Source organism: Homo sapiens, chromosome 2, assembly GCF_000001405.40.
Source record: "Homo sapiens chromosome 2, GRCh38.p14 Primary Assembly".
Lineage (NCBI taxonomy): Eukaryota > Metazoa > Chordata > Mammalia > Primates > Hominidae > Homo > Homo sapiens.
Window position 1 is genome coordinate 200,710,570 of NC_000002.12, and position 25,842 is coordinate 200,736,411.

The 25,842-nt window shown below is 40.9% G+C and overlaps 1 long non-coding RNA gene and 2 pseudogenes across 3 annotated transcripts in view, besides 1 other annotated feature; 2 read left to right on the forward strand and 1 right to left on the reverse strand.

Annotated features, from left to right (window-relative positions):
- AOX3P-AOX2P (AOX3P-AOX2P readthrough, transcribed pseudogene) overlaps nt 1–25,842 on the forward strand; it is a 99,193-nt pseudogene that overhangs the window by 14,847 nt on the left and 58,504 nt on the right. For both annotated transcript variants that reach the window (NR_135011.1, NR_135012.1), the window contains 4 exons: nt 12,409–12,531; nt 13,531–13,618; nt 20,462–20,536; nt 21,918–21,970. The product of NR_135011.1 is annotated as an AOX3P-AOX2P readthrough, transcribed pseudogene, transcript variant B (transcript). The remainder of the gene's footprint in view (nt 1–12,408; nt 12,532–13,530; nt 13,619–20,461; nt 20,537–21,917; nt 21,971–25,842) is intronic.
- The window catches only part of AOX3P (aldehyde oxidase 3, pseudogene), a 43,059-nt pseudogene that overhangs the window by 14,847 nt on the left and 2,370 nt on the right, over nt 1–25,842 (forward strand).
- Nucleotides 1,736–24,608, reverse strand: LINC01792 (long intergenic non-protein coding RNA 1792). Its single transcript, NR_037886.1, has 3 exons — nt 24,468–24,608; nt 5,766–5,848; nt 1,736–3,561 (listed from the first exon to the last, which is right to left on the reverse strand). It is a non-coding gene; the product is annotated as a long intergenic non-protein coding RNA 1792 (long non-coding RNA).
- Nucleotides 2,546–2,825: an enhancer, noted in NCBI's record as "active region_16961". NCBI's record gives its function as "activates an Ori minimal core promoter by ATAC-STARR-seq in GM12878 lymphoblastoid cells {active_cell/tissue: GM12878}" and the evidence as "EXISTENCE:reporter gene assay evidence [ECO:0000049][PMID:35858748]".

Below are 25,842 nucleotides of genomic sequence, written 5' to 3' on the forward strand. Positions count from 1 at the left end.
GAGCTTTCCTAGAGTAAAGGAGTCAAGAGAGCTAAGAAGATGACATCTTCACCGCTCCCATGGGGGAGATCGTAAATGCAGTATTTGTGTAATTGGAAAAATTCAAATATGAACTGTATGTTAAACAACACTATTGTTTCAATACTCATTAATAAGTCTCATTATCCTGACAATGATGGTAAGGTTACGTAGGAGAAAGCCCTTGTATTTTAGGAGTTACATGAGGCAATATTTAAGGATGAAGTGTTATGATGTCAATAATTAACTCTTACGTGATTCAGCTAAAACCATCTGATGGGGGTAGCCGGGGTTAGCTACAGCAAGAGTGAGTGTATGTGGCATAATGTTAACTGCTGGTGATCAGTGAATCCAGGTGAAGGGTATATAGGTATTATTACTTATTGTACCATCCTTGAGACTTTTCTGTAGGTTTGAAATTTATTAAAACAAAAAGTCAGCTGGGCGCGGTGGCTCACACCTGTAATCCCAGCATTTTGGGAGGCCGAGGCAGGCGGATCACCTTAGGTAAGGAGTTCGAGACCAGCCTGGCCAACATGATGAAACCTCATCTCTACTAAAAATACAAAAAATTAGCTGAGCGTGGTGGCACATGCCTGTAGTCCCAGCGACTGGGGAGTCTGAGGCAGGAGAATTTGCTTGAACCAGGGAGGTGGAGGTTGCAGTGAGCCAAGATCACGCCACTGCACTCCAGCCTCCAGCGTGGGCAACAGAACGAGACTCCGTCTCGAAGAAGAAAAAAGAAAGTCGTTCTTGTTGTATTCCAGTGAGAGTCTGCTTCAGCTTTCCGACAGGCCTCACATCAGCAAAATGCCCTGGCGGTTATGAATGCTGGAATGACAGTCCTTTTCAAAGACGGCACAAACACCACTGTGGACTTCAGTGTCTATATGGAGGAGGTGGCCCTACTACAGTTGGTGCAAATAAATTCTGTCAGCAGCTTATCAGAAGGTGATTTATTAACTTACACCTCAAACCAAATAAAGGAGCACCGTGTGTTGACCCTACCACAGTTTTGCTTTCATGCTATTTTTCTGAAGTCCCTTATAGGATGAAAACCATGGAGCTCCTCTAATTCATACAAACTTCCCCACGGCAATGAAAATAAAAGTCTGAAGACTATGCAGCAATATAGATTTTAAAAATGGTTTTATACCAATCAACTATATCTTCATAATTGATCATTTATATTAAAATAATGACAGCATCTTTACTTCAGAACCCCGGTGGATATCCTGACATCTCCAAGAAACTCTTAGGTGTCCTAACAGACTTTCTTTTGACCCTACCTCAGGGGATGTACTCATACGAGGTCACTACGTTTTCTGAAAGAACAGAACAGCCAAGTGGAGCTGTGACTGTCTTTTGCCATGGCTTTCCTTTTTAATTTCCAACTGCTGTCATAGTGTCAGCTTTTAGGAAAGGATCAGCTGTGGAAATGCTGTATTCAAGCAATAATCAGAAAATACAATGGAATAACAGTTCCCGTTTATAGTAACAACCAAAAAATAACTCTAGGGATAAAATCAACAAAAATATGTGCAGGGCCAACATGAAAAGAACTTTTAAAATCTATTGGTGAACTTTAAAAAAAGACAAATTTTAAAAGGGAAAGACATAAGCCTTAGCTACAAGGACACAAAATATAACAGTATCAATTTTCTCTTATAAATTAAATATAACACATTCCCAATCAAAACATCAACAGTGTCTTTTAAAAACTTGATTTTAAAGTTTATCTAGAAAGATAAAAAATGTATAATAAGAATAGTCAAGAGGGGAAACTAGCCCTATATAATATTGAAATGTATTCTATTACATTAATACATGTCTAGTAGTTACACATTATAGGTACTGATACAGGAGGAGAAAAACAGACCAACAGAACAATGTAAAGTCCTGAAATAGGCCAGAAAGTCAGGTCTCATTAGAAGCAAAAATGCACTTCAAGTAAGCCATAAAATGGAGCATTTAAGGAAGAATATTGGTACAACTTGCAAGCCATTTTAAAAACAAAGAAACATAAAGCTGTACTTCTATTTCCCACTTTACAATAAAAATAAATTCCAGATTGATTAAAGTTTTAAATACTAAAAACTATACTAAATATATGCATGCATTTAAAAAAATCCATAGCCTAAGGAACATGAAAGCCGGAAGTTATAAAGAAAAGACTGATAAATTTGACTATATAACAGAGAAAAGCATTAGTATAAAAAGAAACGCATTTACAGCAAAAACTTTTCTAAATCAATAAAAAAAGATTAAAAAAACAAAAAAAGAAAAGTATACCCACTGGCAGGAAACTGGAAAAATAAACTATTTTGAGCCTCACTTAGAATTTTTAAAATGAAAATTAAAACAGCAATGAGATACCATTTTCCTCTATTAGATTGGCAACAATTTAAAATGTTGATAGTACCCACGACTGATTAAATTTGACACATTTTTTCCTCCGAGCATACTTTTCATGTAATAAAGTTACTGAAACCAAATACTGTATTCTTAAAAATGGTTAGGGTTACTAAGAAGCCAGCAACAGAGGGCAGCAGAGACCTCCTCTGGGGCGTCCGCGTAGTTCATGTTCCAGTTTTACAAAAGCAGCTTTTTCTCTGCTGTGGTCTCTGAGGTGTCAGAGTGCAGCAAAAGGGAAATGCGTCATCAGTTCTTGTCATCTCATTGGTGACAATGAGTAATCAGGTGGCGGTGGCGAGGTGGTGTCTCTGGGCCCTCTCTCCAGGCCAGAACGGGCACGTCCCACACGCGAGCAAGGCTTCTTGCTGTGCCGCCCGTCAGAGCCAAGTCTGTGATGGCGCCTCTGTTCCAGGTTGTTACAGAGCTGGGCAGCTCCTCAGGAAGTTGGCATTAAAGAGAGCTGGTGTTCAAAATCTGGATTTTCTTTTTTTTTTTTTTTTAACCGAGAGTCCTTTCCCCTCAATAAACTTGACAAAGGAGATCAAGGAAACTAGGAAACTACCAGAAATTCTCATTTGCATTTCCAAGCAAACGCCCAGCAATCTTAGTCATATTAGCTGCATGGCTTTGGGGTTAGAAAGGAGGTGAGGTTGGGAGGGGAAGATAAAGGATAAAATCAGAGTGAATAACACAGAAGAGGTCTAGCCAGCTGCCTTTCCTGCTTACAAGGGGCCACTGGGGCCAGAGCAGGCCTCCTCCCCCGGCTGTTGCGTCCAGGCTGTTTCCCACACTGTAGACCCCCTTCCTCCTTTGGTCCTCTCTGCCCTTCCCTGGGTCTCCCATTTCAGACCTTGCTGTGCTTCCCAGTCCCCCACATGGAACTCAGACTCCAATTTCCATCAGTCAAGGGCTTGCCTCTTCAGGCACATGTCCTCAGCTCCCACTAAGAGGTCCTCAGCTTTAGGCCAGCTCGGCAGACTGGGGAAATGGACGCCTCTGCACTGACCCAGCAATGCTTATCCAGATCAGTGTTCAGGGAGCACCTTTCTCTCTATGTCCTGTGGATGCAGGGTCTGCCTGGTCAACGGCAAAGGTGTCTTTATGCATCTTCGGGAGGTTGGCCTGTTACTGGGTATAGAGTTAGGGAAAGTACAGCCTGAGAAATTAATATAGAATGCATGTGTATATACATACAGACATTTTTGTGCTTTCTTTTTATAAAAGTAAAACATGTCCTTTAATGGACATTCGACAAATACAGAAGAATATAAAAAGAAAATCAAAATCTCCTGTAAACCTACCAGCTATATATGGCCATTGCCAAAGTATTTTTTAAATACTGTATTAAAAACTTGATTCTCATACAAATCTTAAGTAAGCAAATGTCAAAGATTTATTTAACTCGACAATGAGGGAACCAGCAAAATGATAAAACTGGATGAAAGTGAATTTGAGAGACTGAGCATATAGGCATGCCAGCACAATGACGAAGGTTGCTAGTTTAGGTAAAAAACCGGTTAATATCTTACAGGTAATAAAACTGTAACCTTTGAGGTTGCCTTCCTACAGGACAGAAATAATTTGATTCTTTACTAGAAAAGAAAATCTACATGTTCTTATGTAGCTTCACAGAGTCTAGCCCCCAATCAATAGTAAACAAGTTCAACAAAGGAACATTCCCTTAGAGAATGAGATAACCATGGAATGGACTTGCTAGACTGTGTTCCAAAATGCATTGAAAGGCCATTCAGTGAATCTTGTCTATTTTTCCAAGTTTTGGATAATATTTCTTAACATGCTATTATAATTTTAATAGACTTCCTTGTAATTTTAAGGATTATTAGGGTGTATATAAATATGTGAATACATAAAACACATTTTTTATTTTATTATTATTATACTTTAAGTTTTAGGGTACATGTGCACAATGTGCAGGTTTGTTACATATGTATACATCTGCCATGTTGGTGTGCTGCACCCATTAACTCGTCATTTAGCATTAGGTATAGCTCCTAATGCTATCCCTCCCCCCTCCTCCCACCCCACAAAAGTCCCTGGTGTGTGATGTTCCCCTTCCTGTGTCCAAGTGTTCTCATTGTTCAATTCCCACCTATGAGTGAGAACATGCGGTGTTTGGTTTTTTGTCCTTGCGATAGTTTGCTGAGAATGATGGTTTCCAGTTTCATCCACTTCCCTGCAAAGGACATGAACTCATCCTTTTTTATGGCTGCATAGTATTCCATGGTGTATATGTGCCACATTTTCTTAATCCAGTCTGTCATTGTTGGACATTTGGGTTGGTTCCAAGTCTTTGCTATTGTAAATAGTGCCGCAATAAACATACATGTGCATGTGTCTTTATAGCAGCATGATTTATAATCCTTTGGGTATATACCCAGTAATGGGATGGCTGGGTCAAATGGTATTTCTAGTTCTAGATCCCTGAGGAATCGCCACACTGACTTCCACAATGGTTGAACTAGTTTACAGTCCCACCAACAGTGTAAAAGTGTTCCTGTTTCTCCACATCCACTCCAGCACCTGTTGTTTCCTGACTTTTTAATGATCGCCATTCTAACTGGTGTAAAACACATTTTTTTCAAGATCACATTTTATATATATAATCCTACATTCTTTTTTTCAGATAATAGTATATCACAAACATTTTCCTATGACACTAAAGATTTTTCAAAACAGGATTTTTAATGGATATGTGTTTGTTTTTTATTCAAATGGATGTGCTATAACTTATTTAACCAATCCCCATTTGGGGGGACAAATAATATTCTGTAAATACTCTAAAACATAAATCTGCAGATATTTCCGATGATTTCCTTAGAACACATTCCTAAAAGTGGAATTTCTGTCTATTTTTTAGGTTCTTAAAACTGGCCTTTAGGAAGATGGTTTCAATCCATACTCTCAGCAACTGGGTATGAATGCAGCCCTTTCATCACAGCCTTAGCAACACTGGTTATCATATCCTCTAATCTTTGACAAATTTCTCTAAATTAGAGAAAAATTATCTCTCATTATTTGAATTATATTACTTTAATTAGTGAAGTTAGACCTTTTTCAGATGTTTATTTTCCATTGATAACTCTGTTTTTATGCTGATAAAATGTCATAAAAGGTAAAACTAAAGATAGACCTGAAGGGCAAAAATATAACAAAAGGGAAGCAAGAAGCCTCAGGGAAATGTGAGGGAAGGGACTTTGCAGGTGACCACGGTGGCTGGAAGGAGGACTTACAGTCGCATGCATGACATATAGCCATATTCACATGACCCTCAGGACCCCAGGCTAACTTGCTGCTGAACATCCAGGACTTACCAGGACAGGGAGGACAGAGCAGTGTCAAAATTTATTTTCCAAACCAGACAGCCTGATTCTCTTGCTGATCTGCTGTAGCTGGGCTGGTTGTTGGTCCAAGAAGGTTTACAAGATGGCAGAAAAAAAAAAAACAAAACCCTATTATTTGGAAAGCTGCCTGGTGTTCATCCCCAGGATCACTGGGAGATATCTTCAAGGGACAGGAGTAGGCACTGTAACTGTGGTTACATGACATCACAGAATATAAGAACTGACATCCCTTAAAGAGCTTCACTCATGTGTTAACGCCATTTGCCTGAGTGGAGGGAGAGAAAGATTATCCTCACCAGACCTCCAAAGTCATAGAGTCCCAGATCAGTAGAAAACTCTCTTATCTTAGTTTACAAGTTAAAAGTGTTGAAAAGCATGAATTTAATCTTGTACCTTCATTTTGTAGGTTCAGAAACTGATGCCCAAAGTGCTTAAAACAAGCAAACAAAACCTCCTGCCCCAAGTTACTTATGGCAGAACTAGGGCTATAATTCACATCTCCCAGTTTCCCATCTGACACTTGGCCAGCAGTCTTCCTGCCTGAAGGGGGATCTCACACAGGCTGGCTACACAGCCCCCTAAGTTTTATGATGGTGTTAATCAGAGCACATGGACTTCCACTTGCCAATAGGGGAAACTTTTACCTCAAGTGTCCTCTCAGTAAGATCTGTTTCATAAAACATTCAGGTTTTCTCAGAAAAGCAGAGTTCCCCATATGCTAGCTGCCACAAAATCCATCTTCACTCATGCCCCAGTCCCTGCCCTGTCTCATCTTCATCACACCTACCCTCTTTAGCTTCAGGTAGATCAACCACGAGGAAGAAAAGTCCAGTTTAGGCTGAACACAGACTAGTTTGGAAAGGCCTGCACCACGTAGAGCAGGGAAAGGCACGCCCATTTCTTAGCGGATGCTTCCGACTCATAAACACTCCTGCTTGATTGATTTGCTTTGTGTTTGACTTTGTTTTCTAAAAATAGTGTGTAGATTCCCAGAAGCCCCCTTCCCAAGACCCCAGTGGGATGCCCCATCATGCCTCAGGTGGATATTAAACATGCTGTGAGGGAGGCTGTATTTTGTGATGACATGCCTGCCCTAGCAGAAGAGTTCTTCCTGACTGTGGTCACCAGCACCAGGCCACATGCTAAAATCATATAAGTAAATATGGACAGAATTGAGGGTTGGTAATACCTACCAGCCAGACGCAGTGGCTCACGCTTATAATCCAAGCACTTTGGGAGGCCAAGGAGGGCAGATCTCTTGAGCCCAGGGGGTTTTAGACCAGCCTGGGAAACATAGTGAAACCCTATCTCTACAAAAATACAAAAAAAAAAAAAAATTAGACGTGTGTAGTGGCTTGCGTCTGTGGGAGGCTGAGGTGGAAGGATCGCTTAAGCCTGTGTGGTCAAGGCTGCAGTGAGCCAAGATCATGCCACCGCACTCCAACATGGGCAACAGAGTGAGATCCTATCTCAAAATAATAATAAAGCAGACACTCAAAGGATTATCTATTAGCAATTAACCCAACTCAATACATTGAAATATTTCACAAAAAAACAATCTCAACATATATCTTGATAAAAGAAAATAAAAAGCAGAAGGGCAACTGCAGGCTTGGGAGTGGATAAAAGACAAATAAACCCCTGTCAAGAGAGGGAGCTGGTATCTGAGGAGCTGAGCACTATTATCTCAGAATGTAAAGGGGTAAGAACAACTTCCTTAGCTTGTGACATCCCAAAGAGCTATGATTCTCTCTACCTTTTTTCTGAGCGTTCATCTTCAGAGGAGCCTGAGCTCCTAAGAGTGTCACATTTGAGCTTTGGTTTATTAAACAACCCAAGGGTACACCTCTCCTGGAAGGGGAGACTAACAAAATGCCCTACAAAGAATCCCCTTTTTGACCTGCATCCAGTAAAACCAAAGTCCTCTACTTTCCACAGTGTTAGCACGGTTTCATGCACTCCTGGTGGCGTTCATGTGAAATATTCAGGGTTCTTAGGGTTTGCGTATTCACTTAGAAGAGGGCCACATTATCCTGTGCAACACTTGGCATCTCTGTAGGGTTTCTTCTCTCCCCCATTCCACTGACGCCTCTGAGGCCCTGGCATTGCCTGGTGTAGTTGATGCCATAACAGTTCAGGATATTCCTGGTAACAATTGCAATGAAGAAGAAAGACTATATGCACAAGAGCTGAATAAAAAAGCAAAACCCAATGGTATGCTGTCTTCAAGAACCCCATCTCACACATAACGATACTCAGGCTCAAAATAAAGGGATGGAGGAAAATCTACCAAGCAAATGGAAAACAGAAAAAAGCAGGGATTGCAATACTAAGTTCAGACAAAACAGATTTCAGACAAATAAAGATTAAAAACGATAAAGAAGGGAATAACATAATGGTAAATGGTTCAATTCAACAAGAAGACCTAACTATCCTAAATATATGTGCACCTAACACAGGAGCACCCAGCACCCAGATTCATAAAGCAAGTTCTTGGAGACCTACAAAGAGACATAGACTCCCACACAATAATAGTAGGAGACTTCAACACTCCACTGACAGTATTAGACAGATCACTGAAGCAGAAAATTAACAAAGATATTCAGGAGCTGAACTCAACATTGGACCAAATGGATCTGATAGACCTTTCAGAATTCTCCACCCCAAAACAACAGATTATACATTCTTCTCATTGCCACATGGCACATACTCTAAAATCAACCACATAATTGTACATAAAACAATCCTCAACAAATGTTAAAAAGCCAAAATCAACCAAAAACACTCTTGGACCACAGCACAATAAAAGTAGAAATGAAGACTACGAAAATCACTCAAAACCGTGCAATTACATGGAAATTCAACAGTATACTCCTGAATGACTTTTGGGTAAATAGTGAAATTAAGGCAGAAATCAAAAAGTTCTTTGAAAATAATGAGAACAAACATACAGCATACCAGAAATCTCTGGGACACAGATCAGGCAGTGAAGAGGGAGATTCATAGCACTAAACGTCCACATCAAAAAGTTAGAAAGACCTCAAATTAACAACTTAACATCACGACTGAAAGAATTAGAGACGCAAGAACAAATCAGAAAAAGCCCAAAGCTAGCGGAAGACAAAAAATCACCAAAATCAGAGCTGAACTGAAGGAAATCAAGACACAGAAAAAAAAAATTCAAAAGATCAACAAATCCAGGAGTTGGCTTTTTGAAAAAATTAATAAGATAGACCACTAGCTAGACTAACAAAGAAAAAAGATAAAATATTAAAATAAACACAATTAGAAAAGTTGGAGGGAATATTATCACCGACCCCACAGAAATAAAAACAACCATCAGAAACTACTATGAACACCTCTATGCACATGAACTGGAAAATCTAGAAGAGATGGATAAGTTCCAGAACACATACACCCTCCCAAGACTGAACCAGGAAGAAATTGATTCCCTGAACAGACCAATAATGAGCTCCAACATTGAATCAAAAATAAATAGCCTATCAACCAGAAAAAGCCCAAGACCTTACAGATTCACAGCTTAATTCTACCATATGTACAAAGAAGAGCTGGTATCATTCTTACAGAAACTATTCCAAAAAATTGAAGGCGAGGGACTCCTCCCCATCTCATTCTATGAGGCCAGCATTATCTTAATACCAAAACCTGATGGAGACATAACAAAAAAAGAAAAGCCAATATCCCTGATGAACATTGAGGCAAAAATCCTTGCAAAATACTTGCAAACAAACAAAATACTTGCAAACTGAATCCAGCAGCACACCAAAAAGCTAATCCACCATGATCAAGTAGGGTTCATCCCTGGTATGCAAGGTAGGTTCAACATATGCAAATCAATAAATGTAATTCATCACAGAAACAGAACTAAAGACAAAAACCAAATGATTATCTCAACAGATTCAGAAAAGGCTTTTGATAAAATTCAACACCACTTCATGTTAAAAACTCTCTCAGTAAACTAAGTATTGAAGGAATATACCTCAAAATAATAGGAGCCATCTGTGACAAACCCACAGCCGACATTATACTAAATGGGCAAAAGCTGGAAGCATTCCCCCTTGAAAACTGGCACAAAACAAGGATGCTCTCTCTCACCACTTCTATTCAACATAGTATTGGAAGTCCTAGCCAGAGCAATCAGGCAAGAGAAAGAAATAAAGGGCATCCAAATAGGAAGAGAAGAAGTTAAACTATCTCTGTTTGCAGATGACATAATTGTATATCTAGAAAACCCCATAGTCATGGCCCAAAAGTTCCTTCAGCTGATAAACACCTTCAGCAAAGTTTCAGGATATAAAATCAATGTACAAAAACCACCAGCATTCCTATAAACCAAAAACAGGCAGACCAAGAGCCAGAAAGGCAATCCCATTTAAGATTGCCAGAAAAAAGAATAAAATACCTAACAGCTAACCAGGGAGGTGAAAGATCTTTACAATGAGAATTACAAAAAGAAATTAAGACACAAACAAATAGAAAAACTTCTCATGCTCATGGATAGGGAGAATCAATATCATTAAAATGGCTATACTGCCCAAAGCAATTTACAGATTCAATGCTATTCCTATCAAACTACCAATGACATTCTTCACAGAATTAGGAAAAAAACTATTTTAAAATTCATATAGAATCAAAAAAGAGCCTGAATAGCCAAGGCAATCCTAAGCCAAAAGAACAAAGCTGGACACATCACATTACCCAGCTTCAAGCTGTATTACAGGGCTACAGTAACCAAAACAGCATGGTACTGGTACAAAAACAGGCACATAGACCAATGGAACAGAAAAGAGAGCCCAGAAATAGGCCACACGTCTATGATCACCTGATCCTCAACAAAAACTGGAAAAAAAAAGAAATGAGGACAAGACTCCCTTCAATAAATAGTGCTGGGATAACTGGCTAGTCATATGCAGAAGATTTAAACTGGACCCCTTCCTCACACCATACACAAAAATCAATTCAAGATGGATTAAAGACTTAAATATAAAACCCAAAACTATAAAAAGGCAGCCTGGAAGACAACCTAGGCGCTACCATCCCAGACATAGGAACAGGCAAAGATTTCATGACAAAAACACCAAAAGCAATCATAACAAAAGCAAAAATTGACAAGTGGTATCTAATTAAACTTAAGAGCTTCTGCACAGCAAAAGAAACTATCAACAGAGTAAACAGACAACCTACAAAATGGGAGAAGATATAGGCAAACTATGCAACTGACAAAGGTCTAATATCCAGCATCTGTAAGGAACTTAAACAAATTTACAAGAGAAAAATAAACAACCTCATTTAAAAAAATGGGCAAATGACATACACAGATACTTTTCAAAAGAAGACATACATGTGGCCAACAAGCATATGAAAAAAGCTCAATATCATTGATGATTAGAGAAATGCAAATTAAAACCACAATGAGATACCAACTCATACCAGTCAGAATGGCTACTATTAAAAAGTAAAAAAATAACAGATGCTGGCAAGGTTGCAGAGAAAAGGGAACACCTATACACTGTTGGTGGGAGTGTAAATTAGTTCAACCATTGTGGAAGGCAGTATGGCGACTCCTCAAAGAGCTAAAAGCAGAACTACCATTCAACCCAGCAATTCCATTGCTGGGCTTATACCCAGAGGGATATAAATCATTCTACCATAAAGACACATGCATGCGATTGTTCACTGCAGCACTATCCACAATAGCAAAGACATGAAATCAACCTAAATGCCCATCAATGATAGATTACATAAATAAAAGGTAGTACATATACACCATGTAATACTAAGCAAGCCTTAAAAAAAATGAGATCGTGTCTTTTGTGAGAACACAGATGGAGCTGGAGGCCATTATCCTTAGCAAGCTAACACAGGAACAGAAAACCAAATACCGCATGTTCTCACTTATAAGTGGGAGCTAAATGATAAGAGCTTATGAATACAACGAAGGAAAGAACAAACACTGGGGTCTACTTGAGGGTTGTGGGTGGGAGGAGGGAGAGGAGCAGAAAAGATAACTATCGGGTACTAGGTTTAATACCTGAGTGATGAAATAATCTGTATGACAAACTCCCATGACACATGTTTACCTATGTAACAAACCTTCACTTGTACCCTCAAACCTAAAATAAAAGGTTTTTTAAAAAAGAAAAAGATTATACGCACAGGGTGAAGTATTATGATAATAGCACCTAAAATTCTTATATCATATTAATAATAATGGTAGCTGCTATTCCCTGGTACTATTTTCCAGGTGCCTTTATACACATCACCATATGCAGTCCTTCTAATGACCTTAGATTATTTACTTGCAATAAGCCTTATTTCAGAACAAATTTAAGGGAACTAAGAACCCCGTTAAGTTGGCACAGTTATCTCAATTTTATGATGAAGACATTGAGGCTTATATAGTTTTAATCAATTGCCTGAGGCCACATAGCCTGCAGTGGCAGAGCCATATTCAAACCCAGCCCCACGCTCTAGGCTATAGGTCAACTGTACACACATCATCCCAACGCGTGTTCCAACTGGGTTGACAAGGGCCTCACTGGTGCACATTTTTGTTCCCTTCTGGCAGTTAATTGGTCTGTGTTTTCTGCAGGTGATTTGTGTGGGTCAGATTTTCTGCACTGTGGCTGCTGACAAACATGATCATGCCAAGCAGGCCACAAAAGTGGTGAAGATTGTGTACCAAGACGTGGAGCCTATAATTGTGAACATTCAGGTAATGTCAACATCTGCTCAGTCTTTTGGTCATTTGGCAGTGAGTCTTGCTGCTGCAGGCTGTACATCACCACAGCTTCCCTCCGGCCCACCTGCTTCCCCTCCAGCCCCTCTTCTTATCTTCAGGTCATGTGGACTTCTGATCCTGCCTGTCCAACTCGGGATCACTTTTATTTTTTCCCTCTGGATGGTGCATAGCTCCCTCTGACTTTATTTTCTGCCGACTCATTTATATAAGGTGCTAATGCTAATATCTAAGAGGGAGGAGTCTTGGGTGACCCTCTGTGGCACTCTAGGGACTGCTGAGCAGAGGATAATGAGGATCTCAGTGTGACCATCTTAATTACATTTTGTAATGCAATCTGTCATTAATAAATTTTGGAAAGCGATACCAATTTATTTCTCCAGCTGGGGCTTTGAAGGCATTTATAGAATTTTCTCTAGTCTGTACCCCCAAATAGATAAAGAAATATATTTTTTTCTGGAAATTGGTGGAAATGACAAGAAATTTATTTTTTGGTGAATGAAGCTTTTGCTTTTTATGTGTGATCTGTGTAACCTTCTGAGGATCTTCTGGCCATTTGTATAAATGAAAAATCTGGCCACTAAAGGTAATAATGAAGGAATCACAGAAATGACAAACTCCAGAGGGTTTTAAATTCCCAAATTACTCAGAGAAAATCCAACGAATAGCTGTGGATGACCACTCAGAAACTGAGGGTTAGGCACAAAAATAACCACAAATAATGCTCTATCTTGACTTCTAAAACAGAGTGATGGCAAAGGAGCTCCTTAAACATACAGATTGCTTCCTAGCTGCCTGGTTTATTATGAAAAAGTAAGAAATCCATGGCTTCCTGCTCTTTCCTGGGTGGTTCTACTCTTTGTCTCTTACTTGTGTAGTCAAGGGGATCACAGTTGTCCCTGAAACATCCCACAAACCTGAACTTGAGATCTCAAATCACTTAAAGCTGTGATCCTGGTTTTGTTTTCTCCCCAGATCTGGCTGCCCAATCCATTTTATTCTAGAACATGGGGACAACATGTTGATAACTGGAGGATGGCACCCACTACCTGGGACATATAAGGTGAGCAAATAGGAAAGCCGCTACATGCAGCACAAATTCAGTGATTCGCTAACTTGCCGTTTCAAATATCTGCGGAGTCCTATGCTCACCCACATGTGATTGCTGTACTTTTTTATTAAGTTTTAGCACTGCACTTTGTGACTGTCAAATCACTGCCCATAGAAGATATGGGAACATTTATGTAGAGGTTGAAAGGCCGAAAGCAAGACAGAAGTGTGGGCAGAGGCCTCAGCATTTGAAGATCTCCCCATTTCTGGGGGCATCCAGAATACAAACATGTTAAAGATTTGGAGTGATGCTTGTTCAAACTTGATTCATCCTATATAGTCTCAATCTAGCTATAGAAAGCTCCCACTTCGCTGAAGAAGATTTTCTGAAAGCTTCAGCCCTGTGGAATATAACCTGGAATCTAGAAGGGAGCAGAACATACTGCTTAGAACCTAAAATAAGGATCACAAAGCTCCAGCACTAAACCCCAGGGGTTTCAGTTCATAAGAGACCTTTTGTTCTCATACAGAGCTTTATCAACTCTAACTCACAAGCATGGACAATTTCTCACTCCACTGTTTGATTAGAATCAAATCCCTGCTCAGATATCATCTTCTCTAGGAGACCTCCCCAACACAGCCCTGGCTTCTTATAGAATTGAGTTTGTTCCGTCAGCACCACAATTACAGAGTACTTCCCAAGTGCCAGGTGCTATCCATCTCTGCCTCCCGGGTGCCTGGTGCAGCCTTCTAGCCTTGAACATCTCATTCTGCTCTGCCAGATGACTGGTGTCTTATGTGGGAAGGTTCCTTTCTTTGCATTTCTATTTTCCTAGATCTTGCACATAAAAGGTGCTCAATAAATACATGCTGAAATGAAGTGTGCAACAACCAACACACTCTAAAGGAGTCAGAGGGTCCAGCAGGAAGAGGGTCACATAAGCCTGCTTTCCTTGGAGTGGTCTTTCATTCAACAGATAAAACATCTGTGCTGGGACCTTTAACAGAATCTACCAGAGAGTATCAATTGAGCCAGCCAGAGCAGTGAGGGGATTGAGAACCATGTCATTAAAACTCAGAGTGCTTGGTCTGAAGAAGAAAAGAGCTCATGTGCAGTGTGGGCCAGTCTCACCTGACAGAGAGGAAGGACTGCATACGTGGATGCCTAAAACATGCAAGACACAGTGACTGGTCAACTCAGGATGGAATCCCCCACCCCTCCCATCTCACTCCTGTCCCCTCCCTGCATGTCTAGGCTGGGGGTCTCTATGTTGGATTTCACTCCCTCCCCCTCACCCTTTGACAGCTCCTGCTGCCACACCAGAGCCCCCTGACACCAAGCCCTGGCGGCAGCCCCATCTTCACCTTTCTGATGCTTGATTAGGCAGCCCAGACCCCCACTCCTGCCCAGAATGCTGCCCCTCCTCAAATTTCTGAAAAGCTGTGGAAAGAGGGAGTAGAGCCATTCACTGCTCTGATGGGAGGCACAGCTAGAAAAGAAGATACAATAGGAAGGTGGGATTCCACATTGTGTGGGAGCTGGCCAACACTGGAACGCCTGGCTTCCAGATGCCGTTCCTGCCAACAGGAAGGGATGCCCTAGGCAGCTTTCAAATTGTTTTACCATGGCCCATAAAATGCACCTTATGATGGGACCCAGCACATGTGCATGAACATACATACACACACACACACACACAGAGAGATAGAGAGAGACAAGAGAGAGAAGGGGAGAGAGGGAGAGAGAGAGAGATAGACACAGAGAGAGAGAGAGAGGGAGAGAGGGGGAGAAAGGAACGAAATTACACAGGATGACACTTATTTGGCTACATGTCATGCACTGACACTTTCTCTGCACTGCTTTCCTCTCCCTTCCTTTCCTCCTCCCTTCTCTTCTATTTATTCTTTTAAATATGCTGGTCCTAAATGAATTTTCACACCTTACTAGTGAATCACAAAGGAATGGTTTGAAAAGCACTGAGCAAGATGGTATTTCTATAGCGGTGGCCACAGAACACCGGCATCAGAGCCTTGGAGATGCTTGGTTAAAATGCAGACTCCTGAGCCTCACCCAGACCTCCTGAAGCTGAAAAACTGGAAACATATATATGTATTTTTTTTTGAGTGGGGAGAAATCTACAGACAACAACAATAAATCACGAGCAGAAATGTTGATGTCTTCTCTGTAATTCCACTGTGGTTTTGTAGGAAGGACCAAGCAATCTGAGCTTATTTTTCTAGAAGTTGTAGAGCAATTTCAAGGAAATTACAGAGGAAGACCCAATACCCACAGAAATTGTTTCACCTTCTCATTCATGTAACAATGCATTCACCCATCCATCATCCATCCACCCATCCATCCATCATTCCATCCATCCATCTATCCATCATTCCATCCAAACATTATGCTAGGAGGAATAAAGAGAGGAATAAAGAAATGGCTAAGACAGGTGTAGTTTACAGCCTGCAGTGAGGAACCCTAAAGGGAAATCAACAATTTCAACATAGTGCAACTGTACTGAGTTAAGAATCAGGAGTGGATGGTGCAGTGTAGGTATTGGAGGTCAGGGAAGCCATCCAGAAGTAATGCTTAAGGATCACACAGAAGCATGATAAGAGATGTTAAATGGGATTGTGACTTAAGACAGTCCTCAAAATGATCTGTACATTAGAACTGTGGTATTTTAAATATCAGTTTTCCTTGTGGACTTTCTTTGTTATCAGTAATTCTTCATCAACCAATAGCACCATAGCTGCTAGAGAAAAAGAAATGAAATTGCTAAACCAGCAGCAAAACCTCTGGAATTACTAAGTTATTTTCTAAAAATTAGTATCAATAGATCTTGGTAAATTTTTTTCAGCCTTACAAGCATTTCTGAAAATTACCTGATGATAAAACATCTTTGGATATCCAACTGAGATTTTCTTGGGTATAATGACAGTTCCTCTTTCCTTCCAATAATTCCACGGGTTAAATTGTTCTACAGTTTTTTTCCTGCTGTAGTATGAAGAGTTTTTCATACATTTCTCCAGCATCTTATCAGTTCCTTTGGATCAAATTCTTGCTTGTGAATTGTCTTATCAAGCATTTTGCACATGTTTATCTCTAACCTGGTGGACGAAAATGCCAAACTTCACAAGATCCACAGTGAGTCCATAGTAGACACTAGCTGTGGAATATTGTAGAATCATCAGGAAAGAACACTTTGAGAATAAATTAAGCATTTAAGAGACAATGCAATTTTCAGAATTGAAAGACTGTTCTTTTATTTATTTAAAGCCTTTTTTTTTGATGACCAGTTACTTTTAGGATGGGACAGGGCAGACCAGTGGGCAGGGGTACTTTCATTCTCCATCGTGTACCTTTCTAAAATGTTTGATTTTTTTTAAGTATACACCATGTTCATTTTTCCCCCTATGAAATCTTTGAGGCCAGATATAATTTGGGATTCTAAATGTTTCTGATTTTAGAAGATCATACGACCTCTATACTATTTATTAAAGTCCTCAGCAGAGTCTGGGGCAACATGCCACATTCAAGCATAGTAATATTTCTGCAGTGAAGTGTATGATTACTTAAACCAAGTAAGATTTTTTAAAGACTATGAATCTCTCATTGGATGAGATCAGGAGAAGTTTCTCCACCAAATAGGTGCTCAGGGTTTTTGAAATTCAGAATTGCAGGTGACAGACTGGGGCCTTATATTAGCACTATTCAACTTTTCTTATAATAACCAAGGGTGTGAGAGCAATAAGATTATGGACAAATGAGATTTTGTTTTTTATATTTTGCTGTATTTTATTCGATAATTCTTTGCAAGATTTTTACTCCCCAGAAGCAATTGAGAATAATATGTTCAGAGGAACAAGGAGAAAGAATTCACGAGGACAGAGTGTTCCTCCCCAAATGACAACTAAGGGCAAAGCGGGTCCGCTCCAACGAAAACAAGCTCCAAATTCTACTAGTTGTTAACAATTTAGGCCAATTTGCTACTGCTTTGCAGAGTTGGAACTGCAGAGAGAGGCACTGTCCTTATTGAATTCAACCTTACACTAGGAGAGACTCAGAAAGGAGGACAATGCCAGCGGGCCTTCAAAGTCTAACCAGTTAATGCCACTGAAAATGGCGAGAGGCCGCTGCAACAGCTGATGACCACATTTCAACAGTAAGGGACTCGTTTAGGCTTTTCTTTGTTTCACAGATTTCATGGCACAGCACCTTAGCTATTCTCAGGTGGCACACACCTTTGGATGAAACCATTGGTCCTGTACCAGTGAAACTGTAGCTTTATTTTGTGGCTTTTGCTACTTCATTTGTGACTGCCTTACTGTCAAAAATTCACATACAGATGGCAGAAAGAACAGATTTCTAATTTTATTTCCAGGCTGCTGCTCTAGTTCATATCTACACAGATGGGTCTGTATTAGTTGGTCATGGCAGAGCTGAATTGGGACAAGGTATTAACACCAAAATGACACAGGTGAAAGAGGTTGTTTCAGTTTTGCCATCAGCCAGAATTGGACTTTATAAAATACTCCCAGACTGCACACACCTCCCAGACATTGCATCACACCTTTGGGCTTTGTGATGCAATGACTAGAATTACCCACAGCGTCCCTAGGAGCTCATTCTGAATTATCTGGAAATAAGCCAGCTGGAACTTGGGAAGAGGGCTTCACCTCCCTTCTCTAGTGGGAGGGGCTTCACCAAAACTCAGCTTCCCAGGGAACCAGTGACTCCTCACCCTTGACTGGAGCAGCTGTAACTTTTCATGGGCTCCACAGTTCAGTGAGGGGTGGCAGCATTCCCAGACAACTCCTGTGTATTAATTATACATATATTTGAGTGCCAATTGCACCCCAAATCCAGACTTCCTGGTGCCAGACAACTTGTTCATTCCCCAATCAAGTCCACTTTCTCATGCTTACTCTATGAAAAGGGCACCCATGATAGGGTCGGGGTCCCCCCTCTAGAATGCAGACCCACACTGGGACCCAAGACCTCCTTACTTGAGAACAGAGATCTCCCCAGGCTGCCCTCTTGGAAGAACAGAGGGCAGAAGCCTTACTGAGCCAAATGTCCTGGTATCTGGAGAAGGGCAAGCGCAACATCTCATTTTGAGAGGGGACAAGTGGAGATATCCCTGGTTTGGTCAGCTGAACTTGAAGACCAAAGCCAAGAGTAACTCATTCAATGCTGGTTACTCAGTGACCCAGGTTCCAAGCAAGTCTCTCACAAAGCTTTAATGAGTACCTGCCCCTAGAGTAAAGTAATGAAGACAATACCAAGTGCTGTATGGGTCATGCCTCACTTAACAACAGGGATATGATCTGAGAAATACATCTTTAGGCGATTTTGCCATTGTAGGGACATCATAGAGTACATTTTCATAAATCTAGATGGTATGGCCTACCACACACTTAGGCTATATGGTCTAGCCTATTGTTCCTAGGCTCTAAACCTGTGCAGCATATTACTACACTGAATGCTGTAGGCAATGATAACATAACGGTAAGTATTTATGTACCCAAATATATCTAAACATAGAAAAGGTACAGTAAAAACCTGGTATAAAAGATAAAAAATGGTACACCTGTATAAGACTAAAAGTTGCTCTGGCTGGGTCAGTAAGTAGTGAGTGGATGTGAAGACCTAGTACACTAGTCTAGACTTTATAAACACTGCACACTTAGGCTACACTACATTTATTTTAAAAATATTTAGGTCTGGTGTGGTGGCTTACACCTGTAATCCCAGCACTCTGGGAGGCTGATGCAGGCTGATCACTTGAGTCCAGGAGTTCAAGACCAGTTTCAGCAACAAGGGGAAACCCTGTCTCTACAGAAGAAAATATGAAAATTAGCCAGGCATGGTGGCATACACCTGTAGTTCCAGCTGCTTGGGAGGCTGAGTTAGGAGGATCACCTGAGCCTGGGAGGTGGAGGTTTCAGTGAGCCAAGATCATGCCACTGACCTCTAGCTTGGGCAACAGAGCCAGACCTTGTCTCGAAAAAATAAAGTTAAATTAAAAAATAAAGTAATTATGCCACAACACTATGACAGCTATGATGTCACTAGGCAATAGGAATTTTTCAGCTCCATTATAATCTTTTGGGACCACTGTCATATATGTGGTCCACTGTTGACTAAAACATCATTATGCCACACATGAATGTATTTAAAACAACCCTTCAAAGTAGGTATTACTGCCCATATAATTCAAACAAAAATACTTTGGAGAGCAAAGGGAGCCATTGGCATTAATACAAAGACAACCAGTGTAAACAGGGATTGTCCTGGGCAAAGCAGGCTATGTGGTCACCTGGTTCTGGTATCTCCAGGTCACAGACAAGATCCCCACGGCATGGAGAGTATAAGTCATCCACATACTGAGAAGAAGCAGAGCTATTCAATCACAGGGATGTCTGACTCTAAAACTCACATATCTCTACACACCACGCTGCCTTTCTCTGTGCCTGTGTTCTTGTGTTCACTGCCTGGACAGGGGTTTTCATAGCCTTGCTAAGTATGCAGCAAATCCTAAGTGGAACCTCAACACGTAAAACACATAGAAACAGAGCCATTTTGGTTGAACTGGGCAAATGGATCTTGCATTCTGTCTGTCCTCCCTCTAGCCTCCACTTTTACCTCCTGGGTGAAAAAGCCCCACCTTGGCACTGGTTCCACAGGGAAAACCAGAGTCAGCCCCTTGTCCAGAGGTGGAGACAAGCCACATGGAAGGTATCTGCAGGATGCAGGAAGGATGGTGATTGTTGCAGGGTGAGAAACACAGTTGAGTTTGAAATGTTTCCCCATTTAATTATCTGCCAGTCTTCTGTCCTTTTCCACCTGCAGAATACCTGCCGGACCCTCGTGGAATGCCTTGAACCTATTATCAGATGGAGTACTAGTGGCACCTGGGAGAAGTGGGTGAGTATCAGGTGTGGCTGAAGCCTGCAGAGCTCCTGTGGGGCCACTGAGTGGAAGCACCTGTTCCCAGGTAGGCTGCATCCCTGCCACTTCCTCCTCCTGTCCTGTACAACCTAGGGCATCCCCTCCCCAGTCATCAGTGAGCAGGCAGATCACCTGGGCATCAGTTAAAATGCAGATTCTTATTCTGTAGGTCTGAGTGGGGCCTCAGAGTCTGCATTTCTGTCAGCCTCCCAGGTAACGCTGGCACTGCTGAACCACGCTTTAAGTAGCACTCCTGGCTTTTGGATATAAAATGGATAGTATCTCCATCATAAGGAGGTGACTAGGAGCTAGGAAGAAAGGCATTCATATATTGGTCCAGAAATTAAAGATTAGTAAGCTGAGTTCATAAGGGACAGATATAAATCAGTCATTCACCTTGCAACCAGATCTTACGAAACAGAAATCTCTGGTTCATCTGGCTATTTACTCACACCTGGAGAAATAGCTCAGTAACAGTGTTAAAGCCATTCATATTTAAATACCACTTAGTGTGTGTCTGGTTATTCGCTAAGGAAGATAGAGCCTACATCATCTAAAGTTCACTTTTGGAAATTTGCAGAGAAAAAAGCAATACATTTAAAGGAAGTTCTTGCAGGAGAAGCTGTTATATTGGATTACATTTTGAAAAACATCTTTAGTTAAAGCTACAAATGCTTGCTATTTTCCATACCTGCATTTCAAACATTCCTGGGGAAAACTGGATAGTCTTTGGGTGGTAGTTCTTGTTCTTCTTTCAGAATAAAGACTTCATTTTAAAACATGACCCAGATTTTTAAAAATTGAGGCAGCAGAAGTTCTGCAAGGCCCCTGAGTATTTAATTAGTGCTGTTAGAAAGTCTCCTGGTGATTTTGAAGTTTTGTGGGAAGCCCTCAGGGAGCGGCGATGGATGGGATGCGGTAGCAGTAACTTGAGGGATTACCAAACTTGCCTCCTTTATCTCTTAGTTTCTCTGAAACTTAAAAATATATACATATTCCAACCAAGCCGAAGCTCCACCCAGACTGTTTCCCCATATATGGAGACAGGAGGATGGAGATCCTTGGTTAGACTTTGTTTGGGAACCCTGAATTTAAACTTCCACCACAGATGTTTACCTTCATCGCTTTTTCCTTTGCTCTTTAAATAGATCCACCAAAGCAGTGACTTAGCAATTATCCTGGGCATCCTTAGCAATCATCCTGGGCAGAGAACCCACTTGGGCACTCTGCTTGTTCACTCAGGAAAATAACATTCCCAACAATAAGGAAAACTATGACATCTAGAAAATGGTTATTTTCCCATGTTTTGCTTTTGTCCAGCTGTGTATTTTTCCTTTCATCATATTCTTTTTTGCAGGCTAATGAAGCTTTTGCTCAAAGCACTAGTTTGTCTGCCACTGGATATTTTAGGTAAGAGGTATCTAATACTGTCCTAAAATTATTCCCCTTTAGAATGGAAAAGGAACTTTGAAAAGGTGTGCTCAGTTGTTTATATTTTTAATATTGTCTATTATTATCAATTTTATTTTTTTATTGAAAGGTTTTCATTAGAAAGAGAAATGTTATATTATCAGAACAGGAAGGCAGACAATTTTGAGATGAGTCCCATAATTTCCTTCCTGCAATGCCTTAGTACACATAAACCTGCCACAGGTTTATAGGTTGATATTAAATGATCCTGTGAATAGTGAGAACAGATCAAGATAGAGGGATTTTTGCAAAGCTTTTAGTGCTTCCCAGCATGGATTTAGTGCTTATGCCTTTCAGTCTTAGTGTCTAATAGGATGCAGCACTTTGGGCTTTCTAATATTTCTTGCTCTCCAGAAATCTTGCCTTATATCCTGCCTCTTGTGACCCTCTTCTCTTGTCTAATGGGGGATTGGTTATAAAAGCTGTGAGTCAAACCAGGGATGACCAAAACAGCCCCATACAAATAGCATGGGAAGTTGAGCAAGGTACCCCATCAGACATGAGAATTTGTCCAAATAAGGAACAGGGAGATCTCACTGGAAGTGACAAGAAACTAACCATCCTTTTACCATATTGAGCATATGTGGGCACATCGCCTAGGCTTATTGGGAGGGCGGTCTAGTATCCTGATGGCATCTATAAATACAAAGCTCACATCTGAAGGTAGGTTGGATCTTCTTGAATGGGGAGGCCATGCCTAGTTTCAGTAACCCAGAGGAAGGACGTGAATTTAGGAAACTAGAACTGAGGGAGCTCAGATTCTGTTGGTCTCACAGGTCAACCATGGAAGTCACAGGCACCCCTGGCCAGTGGGTATAAATAATAGTAACCATCATGAGAAGGTAGACCAGGAACCAGGAAGAACCCATTTATTGGTTCAACAATTGAAGAGAAGTAAGCTGAGTTGTAAAGATCAATGAAATTGTCTCTTTTTCTTGTCCTTTTGTTTCCTCCTGTCATTTATCCAATTCTTATATGAACATTCTTACTCTGATCAGTCGGTCTACAGAGAATCAACCCAAGAGTCCTCCGTCCAGTATAAGAAAAAGAGAGGGAAACAGTGCCCCGTTAGACCAATGTGTCAATGGTAGGATCAGACATAGATCCCAAAGGAAGTGAGTCTTGGGTGAAAGCCAAGGCCGTATGGACCACCCAGTGCCAACTCTGAGGTTCTGAACTTTATTTTTACTAAGAAAAGGGCAATTTCCTCACAGCACTAGGCAAAAATGGAAAGCTATCCTGGCACACAAGTATAGAATGCCACCAGAGACAAGCAGCTGGAAGAAAAAGCCAGGCCACCAGCAACAGAGACAAAGAACTGTGAGCTTGAGAGGCTATGGCAGATGGTGAGGGAAGGACAGTGAGGGAGAAAGAGACTCAGATGCAGCAGAGGCTCAGTGGCTAGACTTAGGACCCAGCCAGGGCTTATTGCAAAATAAGCACTTGGTAACTTTTTATATCTTTGCCTTGGCAACCAGGAAACTCAAAGTTAAATTTTATGCTTCATTTAGTTTTGGCTTTTGTTGTTGTTGTTGTTGTTCTTGTTGTTTGCAGAGACAGAGTCTAGCTCTGTCGCCCAGGCTGGAGTGCAGTGGTGCGATCTTGGCTCACTGCAACCTCTGGCTCCCAGGTTCAAACAATTCTCCTGCCTCAGCCTCCCGAGTAGCTGGGACTACAGGCGCCTGCCGCCACCCCCATTTAATTTATTTTGTATTTTAGTAGAGGCGGGGTTTCACCGTGTTGCCCAGGCTGGTCTCGAACTTCTGAGCTCAGGCAATCCACCCACCTCGGCCTCCCAAAATGTTAGGATTACAGGCATGAGCCACCGCACCTGGCCAGTTTTTATCATATATAAATTCCTACTCTCTTATTATTCATTTCATCTCATTTCTTGACTCTCATCTTTTACACTTATTTTAATGATTTGACTATTGTATTTGTATTTAATATGAATGCTTTCTATAAATAGACTCATGTAAGGCTTGTTTAGGAAATAAGTGAAATTGAATTAAATACGTATGTCTAACATGAATCTATTAAGTTTCTCAGCAGATGAAAAAGACCTTCCTTATAACAACACTTGTCATACCTGAAGAACATTATTTAGCCAGTTCTTAATCTTCTCTTTACCAGAATTGATCACAAAAATTTTAACTCATTTTTAGCTTTTGAAACAATGACAAGTTTACAGAAAATTTGCATGTACAGTACAAAGAATTTTTTTTACCCTGAATCATTTGAGAGTAAATTGCTGACCTAATGCCCCAAACCCCTGAACACTTAAGAGTTTAGTCCTACACACTATACAATATACCCATCAGAATCCAGAAATTAACAGCAGTTCACAACTACTATCTAATTATCAGACTCCATTCAAGATTCGCCAGTTGTCCCAATCAAGTATTTTATAGCAAAAATATTCAATACAGAATCTCACTTTTCATTTAGTTGTCCTGTCTCTGAGGTGTCCTGGAGCAGGAATCAGGTCTCCCCTCTCTCTTTGACATCATGACTTTGACACTTCGGAAGAGTTTGGCCAGTTATCTTGTCCAATGTCTCCCATTTTGAGTTTGTCTATTGTTTTGTCGTGGTTAGATCGATGTTATGAGTCTTTGTCAGAATATTACAAAAGTGACTCTGTGTTCCCCTCATGGCATCCTGCCAGGTGACACATGACTTCAACATGTCCCACTTGGTTAAGATGGTGTCTACCAGGACTCTCCACAGTGAGGTGGTTTTTCTCCTTCTGTAGTTAATAAATATTCTGTGGGGAGATACTTTGAAACTATGTAAATATATTGTTCCTCATTAAACTTTCTGTTTATTTTTTATTATTATTATTATTTTTTGAGACAGACTCTCGCTCTGTCGCCAGGCTGGAGTGCAGTGGTGCAATCTCAGCTCACTGCAACCTCCACCTCCCAGATTCAAGCAATTCTCCTGCGTCAGCCTCCCGAGTAGCTGGGACTACAGGTGTGCGCCACCACGCCCAGCTAATTTTTGTATTTTTAGTAGAGACAGGGTTTCACCATGTTGGCCAGGATGGTCTCGATCTCTTGACCTCGTGATCCACCCGCCTCAGCCTCCCAAAGTGCTGGGATTACAGGCGTGAGCCACTGCGCCTGGCCAACACTCTTTTTGTTACTGCCATTCTACCCCTCAGGTCCACCCCACAGCCTGTCCAATTAGCTATGTGAGTTAACTGCTCAGTTTGGTCTCTGCAAAGCAGAGCTAAAACAAACAATGCGCCTTCCTTTAGGGCTCTTAAAATTAAAGCATGAGTACCCTCTAGTGGCTTGCAGGAAAGTTTCCACGATTCTCGAACTTTTCCTAAGTCCCAGATGAGTGAAGGACACTGGCAGGGGTGGGATGTACTGGAGCCAGATGTGTTCCCCACCAGCACACCCAGGAAATACATTTTTGCACAGCTGTAATTTTGACTTAAACATTTGTTTAAGGTTTGCATGCTCAATCATATGACCTACATGTTTGGCTCAGTATACATTTGTTTTCTCAAAATCTTTAGTATAGTGAGTGCTCCAGAAAGTCATTGCATGTTTACCTCATAGACCCATGAACTCTGAAAAGCATAGAGTTCCACTGAAATGCCCTTTCTGAGAATCAAAGTTGAAGTTCTTTTCACTTGCATTGGAAGAAACCTAGATTTTGTGACCAGAGATGGAATAAAATATGAATAGAACCACATTAAGTAGAATGTTCTCAGTATAGCCTGGCAGAAGGTGTGTCGTGCCTAGCATGAGGTGACATGGTGATGTGTGCAATGGAAATGGAGTTATTTGGCTTCAAACTGT